We start from the raw sequence: 13,291 nt of genomic DNA, 5'->3' as shown, positions 1-13,291 counted from the left end.
TACCATGTTCAAAATTAATTTGACATGGATTATACAGACTCAATTGAAAACCTAAAACTCATTGGCACTTGTTTCATTGCAACATGGTAACTGAACAGGAAGTTGTTTGGAATTGGCAGAAGTCAGATGAATGACCAATCTTACATGCCCATTCTTCCTCTCTTGAGCTGTTATTTATATTCAAATTAAATACACATCATTCCTCTCTGTAGATACCTATGTACTTATTAGATTCTAGTTAATAAACTGCACATGCTCAATAACTTTGAGGAAATTTAGTGAAAATGAACGAAAAGATAAAATGTTTCTATTTAGACCTGAGGTTATTTTTAGACTGGCCCATAGAAACAGATCCAGATAAATTGTCTGAGAAAGCAAAGTAGGTACTTATGAATAGTATTCAAAGTCTAGGATTAACATCTAAAAAGACTCAGTAGTACTGCTAGCCAGTCAATAAAATATAACTCCATATACAACTGTGTTTCCAGCATACAAAAGGTCAAACCAATGACTTTTACAACAATCTACCCTCATATTTTATTCAGCCTCTAGAACATGGAAGCTTTAAGAGTGAATCGGCTAAATAGGCAAGAACTTCTGAAAGTTAACATGTTGATGATTAAAAACAGTAACTACAGGTTATAATTACCTGGGTAATTAATTGAAGTCTTATTCTATTTTCATAAGACTTACTTGCTCCATTCAAGCAAAACAAATTTTGGTCTAAATTACCTAGATAATTATGACATCTTTTTACTTGAGAAGTATAGAACTTGCCTCAGGTTACAAAACTAACTATATCATTATGAAATGGATAGCCAGGTAGGATTCTAACTGACATTATTCTATGCTTAAGATCGACTTAACAACAGCTATTCCCAGTAAGCAAATTTTAAAAATCAGATCCAGCTACATGTATTATGATTTTTCTACCTTACGGACTATTTTGGAGGGATACGCTATTAATACTAAGACTGTGAAGGAGAGTTGGGGAGGGAGCAGGGAGCGAGGAACATGCACACCACATTAACACAGAGGCAATATTCTGGCTTGGACTGTTCTTTACTACTGTTCTTAAAGAAATGTTCATTCTGCTGCAGCTAACTAGCCTTCATCTTCTACACCAAATACTATTCCATGCCATGGAAGTGCTATGCAATAACTCTCCCAGGAAGCACCTTATACCGCTTAAAAGCCTTTAAAATCTCTAATCTGAAGGTGTCACAGTAAAGACATGTAAACACTTATGAAAATACCTGATGAAGTCACCTGTGTCCATGGAACCGGCCCGTTTGTCACTCAAACCTGTGCTGGTTAGGATTTGCTGTATTTTATCTGCTATGCTGAAATCTTCTGGAATTATCTATCAATATAAGATTCAGAATAAATGAATGGCATGTATTTAAAGAAAACCCCTAAAACTGAAACTTATAAGCTATCAAACAAGAAATAAGTTATACTTCATCACATTAAAATTTTTTTGCTCTCCAAAAGCTAAGTTAATGAAAAAGACTGGAAAAAATGTTTGTAAAATGTATGTCTAATAAAGAACTTGTATTCATAATATGCAAAGAGCTTTCAAAGCTCAACAAGACAATCATCCTGATTTTTCTAAATGAGCATACAATTTTAACAGACATTTCATGAGGAGATATATGAATGACCATTAAATACATTAAAAGATGCTCAGCATTATTAGTTACTGAGGAAAATGTAATTTAAAACCACAATGAGGTTATAATACACACATATTAAGTTGCTAAAATAAAAAAGCAAAAACATACCAAGTATTTTAAAAGAAGCAACTAACATTTCATGTATTTTTGGTAGACATGCAGAAATACTGAACAGTTTCTTATTAAACACAATTACAATACTAACATCTTTTTAAAAAACAAACAAACAAACAAACTGTGTGACTACACAAAGACCTGATTACAGAAGGTTTATTTATAAGAGCCTCATATTGAAAAAAACCCAAATATCCATCAAAGGTTAATGGATAAACAAACTGGTATATCCACACAATGGAATACTACTCAGCAATAAAAAGAATATACAACAACATGGATAAATCTCAAATGCATTATGCTAAATGAAAACTCTGGGCAACAGACTACATTCTATACAAATCCATTTATTTGAAATTTGAAAAAAAGGCAAAATGCCTTATATATTTTTGTATTAAAAGAATTTATCTAGTTATTATCAAAGCTGATCACAGTTTACAACTACCTTATGTATCATCCATGCCCATGTTTCTCTCTCCTCTCTTTCTTTCTCCTCTCCCTCTCTTTTTTCTTCCACTCTCCTCTCTTTCTCTTCTACAGTGCAGAGTGGGAGTATAGGAGAGAATTTTTCAAGCATTCAGTAGTCGCCACAAAGAGCAAGACTGAGCAACACTGACGACGCTGAAGAACCACGGCTGATATATATTAACAATTAAGCACTTCCAACTGAGTACTGCCAATTGTCTTCTCCTGGCGAAAGCCTCGTTTTTAGTATTGTAAATACAGAAATCAAATCACAATTGAGATTTTGCAATTAATGTGTTTAAAATCAATACCAGTTGTAATAGCCAAATCAATCACAGAATGCATCAGCCACCAAAATTAACACCCCAAAAACCACGGTTTTATCTCTCCAATTCAAATATCTGCTCCAAGGGCCATCAGTAAGAACAGGGCCTTGGTCTCCAGCTCCAGGTGCATTGCCTTTTCTCCTCACTTCTCCGTGCTTCTGGGAATGCTTTTTCTGCAGGAGACAGTCAGGTGATATTCATCAACTACTGCCCTGGCCCCAGCTCTCCAGCATTGACAATCAGATACATGAGTATTTGAAACTGACAAACTAAAATAAAAATAAAAATATAAAAACCTTAAATTATATTTATATACAGTTATATCCAAAAGAAAAATACCTAATTAATGTCTTGGTCACTGATATTGGCATTTTTCATTTAAACAAATCAACCAAATAGATCAATGAAGTACTAAATTTAGTTTGTCACAGTGTAAAATCATTTCATAAACAAATTTTAATTACGATGCTATAAGATACAATTCTACCTATATAGCAATAATCATATTTTAAAAATTGGCTACTCTCTTTGGACACCATGGACAGAAAACATTAAGGTTTTAATTTAAGGATGAATTAAACATGTATTTGCTTTAACTAAGCCAGTGAGGGGGCACACATGACATAAAATTGGTCAAGAAGATGCAAGAAGAGTTCATGGGATTTTATTAAACTAGTTTAATAAACTAACAAACTAATTTAATGAACTAACCAAATACTTTTATATATCTGTTAAGTTTCATAATAAAGAATTTAAAAATAAAATATATTGGTCATGTTGGATATAACGGTAAACAAACATTTATGAAGAAATGAGAGCATATGTTAATTCCACAGTTTTATATTTAGGTGAAATCCAAACAAAGCATAGCAGGTTGCAAGTCTAGGTAACAATAACCATAGGTTTGAATTAAGCTTGGACTTCTCTTGCTTGTCCAGAAGTAATGATGCTCTTACATTTTCAGAACAATATTTGAATTTTACCTCTCAGATTTTAAAGTAGAGCTATACTTGGGCAATATTTTCATTATATCAAGGTCATGTTTTTGACAAGTCTTTTAAAATATCTTTAATGTTTTATTAACATAATACATACATATGTTTTGAATTATCCAAAATAAATACACACTACTGGAAGGTGCATAACAAAAATTACTAGCTCTCTATCCCATCACTTCCCACTGTACAATCTCACACATTTCTACATTCAACCCATTTTGCTATGTTATCTGGTATTCAACTCACTACAGCTCTAAACAATACGTTTGCACATTTTCTATTGTTTTATCATTATGAAAGACAACATTTAGCTCCCTTAATACTCTTCACTCTCATTTGTCACCCACACCCTGCCATCCTCCCAAGACGAGCCCAAATTTCTGATTAGATAGCTTATAGACTGCCTATTTCTCATCCCTGTTGCTTCTAAGTGAACGGAGACCTATTACGATTACTCTTGGCCTTTTATCCTGCTGCTTTACTCACACCACACTAGGAGAGGTACATGACATTTGGAAGATAAATTCAGAAAAATAAATAAAGCAGCACGTTTTACTCATCTCTGCCTTACTTCAGAATGAGACTTCCACAGGAAGAATTGCTCCCCAGTGCTCCTTCAGGGTTTGCTTTGCTCTCCTATAGGAGGACTTCCTTATCCAATGTTGTTATGACTGGGTGAGGGAGCCTGCCTGTCATTTGGTTAGAGGTCCATTTTGCTCTTCCTCTTGCCCTAGTCTATGTCCCCTGCTTTTGCAAGTAAAAACAGTGGTATCTGCCTTCCAATCCAATATTCTTTATTTCTCAATTTGTCAGAATTCCAGGTAGAAAAAAGGAGCTCTTTATTGGACCCTTCGGAGACCCCAATATATTTTTTACTTAGTTATTATCATTCCATAAAATTTCTTCACTGAAGAACCAGGTACTAGACTATGACCATATTTTCTCTTTTATACAACTTTCCGTTTTTCCTAATTTATGTCTTCATTTTTTTAGTCATCCATGTGCATTTTAACTAGTCTTTTATATAATTTAAAAATCCCTTGATTTATCTTCAAAAAGATAAACTTCATGTAGCAAATTTTTGTCCTTTTTATTTTTATAGAGCCCTCCTTTCTAGAGCCTCATAGTCTCCTCTTCCAATTTGGACTGGTTACCCTCTAGACCTATTGTACAGCGGTTATCCTGGATTTTCATTTTTATTTTCTGTTAGTTCAATGTGGATTCACTGTGTCTTGGATCTCATTTCTCCTTTGTTCTTGGTGTATCAGTGACTTTGGTGGAGCATATTCTCAGATAAATTTATAAAAATTATACTTAGAAGGTAACTTTTTGAGACTTCAAATACTGAGAATTTAATGTTATCTCATGTTTAATATATCAGAATAGAATAAGGATAGAATTTTACATGAGACATTATTTTTCTTAAGCATTTTGAAAGTTTTATTCAAGTCTGTTTTATCTTCCACTGCTGCTGTTAAGAAATACAACACCCTTCAGATCCTATTTTTTTTTTTCAGATGATCTGGTTTTTATCACCTGAAATTGTGAGACATTTTTATTACCTATCCAACAGTCACTCATCCCAAATTTGTTTGAATATTTATTCCATCCACATTTTATAGGGGTATCCTGATTAGTTTAAGCCAAACAGCATAAGAGAGTGTGTGGCATAAATTACCCTCTCATACTGAAGGAAAGTACACGTGCATATTGATGAAGGAGGGGGCTCTCAATCTTCTTCTGTATGTGAACTAGAAATATTGTAGCCCTCATTGTCACCATCAGCTATCTTGTGAACATTAAGGAAAGCAGACTTAGGGAGATTCACAGGAAGAAGTAACGGGCAGATAGAATCAGGGTCCTTGATGACCTCAACCGAGCTACTAATCATTCAATTACTGGAACCTAACCTACTTCTATAATGTCGTTTACTTAGTAAGGTAATACATTTGATTATTACTTAAGCAAGTTTGAGTGAGAATTTTCTTTTCTTTTTTTTTTTTTTTTTGTTTTCAGCCTGAAGCATCCTGACTGCTAAAGAAAGCTTTTAAGATTTTCTCTTTATCCTTAGTATCCTAAAATCTTTTGATGATGTCTCATAGTGTCAGTCATGACCCTTCCTTTTGCTATGCATTTGATAGCCCTCCCTTTTCAATGTAGAAACTTATATCCTTTGGCTATATGAAATACTTTCTTGTATCTTTGTTAATTGCCTTTTTTTCCCTCTGTTTCCTCACTTTTGACTGTCAACATAAACAGGAAAACAAAGTCAGAAGAGCATTTTTCTTGTATGTTCAATCTCTCTTGCTCAATCCTGGCATCTTTTCTGCAACTTGGAAACATATTCAAATCTCCAACATTTAAAGAAAATTAACCTAAACTCCACTTCCTCCTCCAGCCACCACCATATTCCCTTCTTTGTCTCATTGTCAAATTGTTTTGAAAAGTACTATTTTGAATGCCCATCTTAAATAAGTGGAAATAGGGAATAGTGAAAGGCACAGAACTGCAAACTGGGCTGAAGCTTTCAGAGCTAAAAGCAAGAGCAGGTAAGAGAATGGGATAAGTCTATATTAGATGTCAATCAGTTGTGGTTAAGATAATGAAGGTCTCAAGTCAAATAGACCTGTTTACAAACTCCCACTCTGTCAATTGATGATCTGTCAAAATGGAGCAGTGCTTTAATCTATGTAAACCTCTATTTCTTTTTGTGAAAATGAGGTCATGGTAGCACCTACCACGGGATGTCAAAATCAGAATTCAGTTATATAAGCTAAGAGCTTAATAAATGTTACTTGCACTTACTACCATTATCAGAGGCTTGACACTATTAACATGAAGCTAAAAAAATCTGAAGGACAACATGCCATGGCAAAGCAGGCATGGAGGGCCAGCTAATTCAAACAATGAAGTAAAGAAGACAATAGGAAGCAATGGGGCAGTAACTAAAGACTGTAAGATTGAGCAAACTGCATTTAGTTGACAGAGAGATGGAAGAAACTGAAGATCCACCTGGGACATAGAGACAGGACATTCATAGAGCTTCTTCAACATCTGCTACCAGAGCGAAGAATCCATGTAAAACAGTCACATACAACACCTCCATCTGCAATCTCCTCCTGCAATGGGAGCAATTCTGGAATTAACTAATATTTCCCTGGTAAAATATTCTTTTTTGTTTGGGAGTATTGTGAATATGAAAGGTGGATTCCCATGACCATTCCTTCAAGCTATACACTTAATAATGCACTCTACAATAAAATGGCCATGGTGTTCTCTTGAGTAAAAAATTACCTATATGGTGTTTTCCACTTTCTAATTTAAAATACCAGGAAAGTGAGCTGGGATGTGATACAACAAGAAGTGATGTTGGTTGGTTATGAAGAATAGTAGCAGTGAATGAAGGAGTGGAGAAAAGTAGTTGTTAACCCCGGGATGAAGGAGAACAGCTAGCTGTTACCTACTAATCGTACATTAAGTAGGTTTATGAGTGTTTTCATTTTGTTTTGTTTTTTGGGTTTTTGTTTTAGCAGAGGACAGAAATTTGTGTAATTTTGGCTGTAATCTATTTGTCCATAACTTCTTGTGTTTTAAATGCAGAATTTGGAGGGTTTAAAGAGCGCTACACACATTTTTGTCAATCATAGATTGTTCTTTGATACACTCAATATTGTAAAGATTTGAATTCTCCCTCGATTATTTTGTAGATCATACTCAATCACAATACAAACTTGCTTCTTTCTTTCATGTCTGTTCATTTTAGAGTGTTCGCACTAGGAGTGTTTGATAAAATAATTCCAAAACTAATTAAAAAAAAAACAAGTTTGTAAGACTATCCAGAATATACCTTTAAAATAAAATAATTGAGAGGATATTTATCTGCTACATATTAAAATTAAAATAATTGAGAGATATTTATCTGCTACATATTATTAGCACTACAGAAATTAAAGCAATGAGGTAGTATAGCATTATCAACAAGTAAGTAGATTGGAATAGAGGGTCCATATATTTAGCCAGGCAAACATTACAATATAGGAGTTGATATTGTTTGCACTTCAAATAGGGAAAGGAAGATTAGTCAGTCAATAAATGCTTTTTGGTTAATAGGTAACAATTTGGGGAAAAAAAGGTATACTTTAATGTTAAGAGCTAAAGCATAGCCATATTCAGCCTACTATAATGACAAAGAAGTAAAGATAAAGACATATTCAACAGACTTGTAGACAGAAATAGAAATGAGAGGACAAGAGAGTGCACATATTTTCTGATCATTGGTCCCAACATATATATATACACACACACACATATATGTATGTATATTACAAACCCACTACATGTAGTAACATACACATAGTACACAAAAATATATAAGTATATGCCATAAGTATTAGTGTATATATAAGTGTAACACTAATTATATAATAATATATGTTAGTGTGTATGTGTGTGTATATATATATATACGTAAGGGTAACCCATATATAATATCAATTATATTATAATTGATATAATATAATATAAACCCATATATAATATCAATATATAGTATGTATACTTATATGTATACATACATACACCCAGATAGATAGTTACTGAAATACAGACATAAGAAGAAAAATAACTAACTTAAAAAAAGGTCAAATAATGTGAGCACACTCCTCATGAAAGTGTATATAAAAATAGCAAATAAAACATGAAAATATGTTCAGTGTTATTAATCATTAGCAAAATGAAAATAAAAACTGCAATGTGATAACCTCAAACCCAGTAGAATGCCTAAGATTAAAAACAACAACAACAACAATACCAAGTGTTGGAGAGAATGTGGAACAAGTGGAACTCTCCTGCTTTGCTGGTGGTAATGTAAAATGGTTTGTGACTTTGGGGGAAAAAGACAGTTTCTTATACACTTTAAACATGCACTCACCATATGGTGCAACAATTCCCATCCTACGTATTTAACCAAAGGAATGAACTGCTGAGGCATACAAACAGAACTGTTATCTTTAGAGAGGCGAGACAAGCAAAAAAAAAGTTCATGTACGTCGTTCAATTTATATGAATTTTTAGAATGTTCAGAACTAACGTATGGTAGAAGTCACATGAGATTGTTTCAGAAGGATAAGTGTATTAGACTGTGAAGTGGCATGAAAGAACTTTTGTGGTGATGGGAATATTCTGTAACTTTATTGGGGTAGTGGTTACAGGTATTTCTATGTTTCTCAAAGTTCATCAAACTGTGCTCTTACAGTCTATGTATTTTATTGTATGAAAATTATACCATACCACAACCAACTGATACAAAAACTAAAAAAATAAAACCCAGTGGCTGGGCGCGGTGGCTCACGCCTGTAATCCCAGCACTTTGCGAGGCCGAGGAGGGTGGATCACGAGGTCAAGAGATTGAGACCCTCCTGGCCAACATGGTGAAATACCATCTCTACTAAAAATACAAAAATTATCTGGGCATGGTGGCACATGCCTGTAGTCCCCCTACTCGGGAAGCTGAGGCAGGAGAATGACTTGAACCCGGGAGGCAGAGGTTGCAGTGAGCCGAGACCGCACCACTGCACTCCACCCTGGTGACAGAGTGAGACTCCGTCTCAAAAAAAGAAAAAAAAAAAACCAGCAAACATAAACATAAAACTAAATATGATCACCTAGGAAAATGGTTTCAAACAATTCCACACAGGAGACTGAGGAGTGACTAATGAGACAGAAGGCAAGCCAGGATGTGGGCTCCTGAAAGCCAAATGACGTAAAACTTTCAAAAACAGAGTGACCGTGTTTATAAGATGAATTTAAAAAACTGGTCCTTATTGCGTAGTGGCAGGCATCTGTAATCCCAGCTACTCAGGAGGCTGAGGCGACAGAATCGCTTGAACCCGGGAGGGGGAGGTTGCAGTGAGCCGAGATCACGCCACTGCACTCTAGCCTGACGACGGAGAAAGACTCCGTCTCAAAAACAAACAAACAAACAAACAAAACAAAAAACTGGTCCTTATTACTGAAGTGTGCAGTGAAATCTTCATAGGGAAAACCTGATTGGAAATGGGCCAATGGTGACAAAAGGAGAGAAATGGAGACAACAAGTATAGTTAACAATTTTAAAGAGCTTTTATCTAAAAGGAACAAAAAAAAAAGAAGGACGGCTAGGGGGATATGTGATTTCTAGATTTTTTTTTTTAGATTGACGATTTTACATCATATTTGTGTGCTGGTGAAAATGTTCGAGTGAAGAGAAAAATTGATGATGCAGTGGGGAGAGGAAAAAAGGTTAAGCCTACGTTGGAAGTAATGTAATGAATATATTGCAACCGCTATTTATACCAACAGCATCTAGTACACTAAATATGGCATGCAGAATGCTTAATAAATATTTAAGCAACAAAAGAAGAAAATTAATATGTATTGGTTGCTTACAAGAAATGATAGAATAGCATAAGAATCTTGTGTCTGGCTGAGGAAATGTAATGAGAGCAAGATTTTTTTTTTTTTAAAGAGGAATTGTAGAAGAAGGAAAAATAATGTATAAATCAAAGCAATGCTGAATTACATGAATTGTACTAGTACTTACTTTTGATCTCTGCTACTTAACTCCAATGTTCCAGTCTTATGTTGTGCTTTGTAATTGACCATTTCTAGAACAGGGACATTAAGGCACAAAAATGTCTACAAATGTAATCATTTATCATGACCTACATGGCTAATATGGTCCAAACTATCCTTAAGCTCTTGCTTTAAGATTCATAAATGCCCCTAAGGAAAAACTGACCATGGTGCATTCAGTCCTCCCTTGCTGAGGTGCCCCACTGCACTCTTCTGCAGCGTTCTTTCCAACAAAACTTTCCTTTTCAAACCGATGCTGTTGTCAGTAAATTCTTCTCACTACCCATAAGTCAACCACTTTTCATTACTAGGGCTCTGACACCTCGCCCGGCATCTTGGTGGCTTGCATGGGTACTTTACTGGAATTTCTCCCTTCCTTTTTCTCCCTGCTTCCCTCAATGCTCTGCTTCCTTACCCCTGGGAACTCAAGGTCCCTGGCTGAAGCAGCTCTTCAGTGGGATTCTGAAGCCCTAGAGAAGAGATAGCTGTCTGTCATTTCCCTTAGGGGTGAGGGAATGGCCAGGATTCCTTTCTATTTCTTGTACTGCCAGTGAACCAATTTAAGTCCTCTTTGGCAATTGACAGTTTCTGTCAAGGACTGTTTCTTGGTGTTACCCGAAGCCTAAGACAAAAGGGTTAATTCATTATTGCCCATCAGGGTGGCAAGTCTATTTTCACTTTAACACTCAATAAACCTGTGTGCACAGACACACTCTACTGGTTGCGAACCCAATTTTGGATTCAACTTTGTCACAAACACCACATCCCAAGTTACAAGTGAGTTCTCCTTTACATTAGGTTTGAATTGACCCCTCGAGCAAGGGCATTCCTGGAATGGTCATCCAGGCAAAGGCAGACCCTCTATCTGTGGTGGAGTCCCCCCAAATAGAGTGAGCCAAAGGGAAAAGAGAGGTCCAAAATGCCTCAGGGATCTTGTAGCTCCTTATCTAAACCCTTTACATACCATGAAATCACACTATGAGAAATTACCACCTCCCTTGAAATAACCTTAGCAAAAACTGGCTCAAGTGTATCAAAGCTAAAGAAATCTTTAGACTCACTTGCAGGAATAGTTTTTGATTATAGATGAGCACTAAATTATCTCCTAGCTGAACAAGGAGTCTGTGCTGTCATCAATAAAACCTATTGCACCTATGTTAATGTGTCTGGAGAAGTAGAAACCAATGTCTGAGAAATTTTCAAACAAGCCAAATAGCTACACACACTTTTTCAAAGTAACCAAGACTGGACCAAAGCCTTTATCGATTGGTTTCTAAAAATCACTCGGCTTCTCCCATTCCTTGGACCTTTATTCCTCTTCATTCTTCTTTTAATGTTTGGTCCCTGCATTTTTAATGCTCTCATTAACTTTATATCTTTCAGATTACAAAAATTCTACCACAAGTGATTATGCAATCACAATACCAGCCTGCAACAGCAACTTCCATTTATATGAGGCCTCTTGATGGAATCCGGTCTTACTCTCATGAGCAAGTTTTTCATGACCTTCCATTGCCTTCATGACAGAGTAAGAAGGGGAAAAATGCAACTTATCCCCTCCACACCCACATTCAGCAAAAATAGCCAGACTTGATGCCCAATATGGTTTGGCTATGTCCTCACCCAAAACTCAACTTGAATTGTACTGCCCAGAATCCCCACATGTTGTGGGAGGGAGCCAGGGGGAGGTAATTGAATCATGGGCTCTGGTCTTTCCCATGCTATTCTCGTGATAGTGAATAAGTCTTATGAGATCAGATGGGTTTAGCAGGAGTTTCCGCTTTTGCTTCTGTCTCATCTTTCTCTTGCCGCTGTCAAGTAAGAAGTGCCTTTTGCCTCCCACCATGATTCTGAGGCCCCCTCAGCTATGTGGAACTCTAAATCCAATTAAAACTGTTTTTGTTCCAAGTTTCGGGTAGGTCTTTATCAGCAGCATAAAAACTAATACAGTAAATTGGTACCAGTACAGTGGGGCATTGCTGAAAAGATACCCAAAAATGTGGAAATGACTTTGGATCTGGGTATCAGGCAGAGGTTGAAACAGTTTGAAGGGCTCAGAAGAAGACGGGAAAACGTGGGAAAGTTTGGAAACTCCCAGAGACTTGTTGAATGGCTTTGAAGAAAATTGCTGATAGTGATATGAACAAAAAGGTCCAGGCTGAGGTGGTCTCAGATGGAGATGAGGAACTTGTTGGGAATTGGAGCAAAGGTGACTCTTGTTATGTTTTAGCAAAGAGACTGGTGGCATTTTGCCCCTGCCCTAGAGATTTGTGGAACTTTGAACTTGAGAGAGATGATTTAGGGTATCTGGTGGAAGAAATTTCTAAGTAGCAAGGCATTCAAATGATGACATGGGTGCTGTTAAAAGCATTCCATTTTAAAAGGGAAACAGAGCATAAAAGTTCAGAAAATTTGCAGCCTGATGATGCAGTAGAAAAGAAAAACCTATTTTTTGAGGAGAAATTCAAGCTGGCTGCAGAAATTTGTCTGAGTAGCAAGGAGCCTAATGTTAATCCCCAAGACCATGGGGAAAATGCATCCAGATCATGTCAGAGACCATCACAGCAGCCCCTCACATCAACAGGCCCGGAGACCCAGGAGGAAAAAGTGGTTTCATGGGCCAAGCCCAGGGTTCCCGTGCTGTATGCAGCCTAGGGACTTGGTGTCCTGTGTCTCAGCCACTCCAGCTGTGTCTGAAAGGAGCCAAAATAGAGCTCAGGCTGTGCCTTCAGAGGGTGGAAGCCACAAGCCTTGGCAGTTTCCACATGGTGTTGAGCCTGCAGGTGCACAGAAGTCAAGAATTGAGGTTTGGGAACCTGTGCCTAGATTTCAGAAGATGTATGGAAATGCCTGGATACCCAGGCAAAAGTTTGCTGCAGGGGCATGGACTTCATGAAGAACCCCTGCTAGGGCAGTGCGGAAGGGAAATGTGGGGTCAGAGCACCCACACAGAGTCCCTACGGGGGCACTGCCTAGTGGAGCTGTGAGAAGAGGGCTATTATCCTCCAGAATGCAGAATGGTAGATCCACCAGCTGCTTGCACCATGCACCTGGAAAAGTCACAGACAATGCCAGCCCATGAAAGCAGCCAGGAAGGAGG

The 13,291-nt window shown here is 36.7% G+C and overlaps 1 long non-coding RNA gene across 1 annotated transcript in view; it reads right to left on the bottom strand.

Annotated features, from left to right (window-relative positions):
• Nucleotides 1-1,120: 1,120 nt before the first annotated feature.
• The window catches only part of LOC101928832 (uncharacterized), a 100,762-nt gene continuing 88,591 nt past the window's right edge, over nt 1,121-13,291 (bottom strand). The window contains exons 3-4 of the long non-coding RNA XR_001755969.2: nt 2,236-2,754; nt 1,121-1,363 (exon numbers count right to left, since the gene is read on the bottom strand). This is a non-coding gene — a long non-coding RNA (uncharacterized LOC101928832). The remainder of the gene's footprint in view (nt 1,364-2,235; nt 2,755-13,291) is intronic.

This window comes from Homo sapiens, chromosome X, assembly GCF_000001405.40.
Source record: "Homo sapiens chromosome X, GRCh38.p14 Primary Assembly".
NCBI lineage: Eukaryota > Metazoa > Chordata > Mammalia > Primates > Hominidae > Homo > Homo sapiens.
Note: the sequence above shows the minus strand (reverse complement) of the source record. Positions and strands in the feature narration are given on the sequence as shown.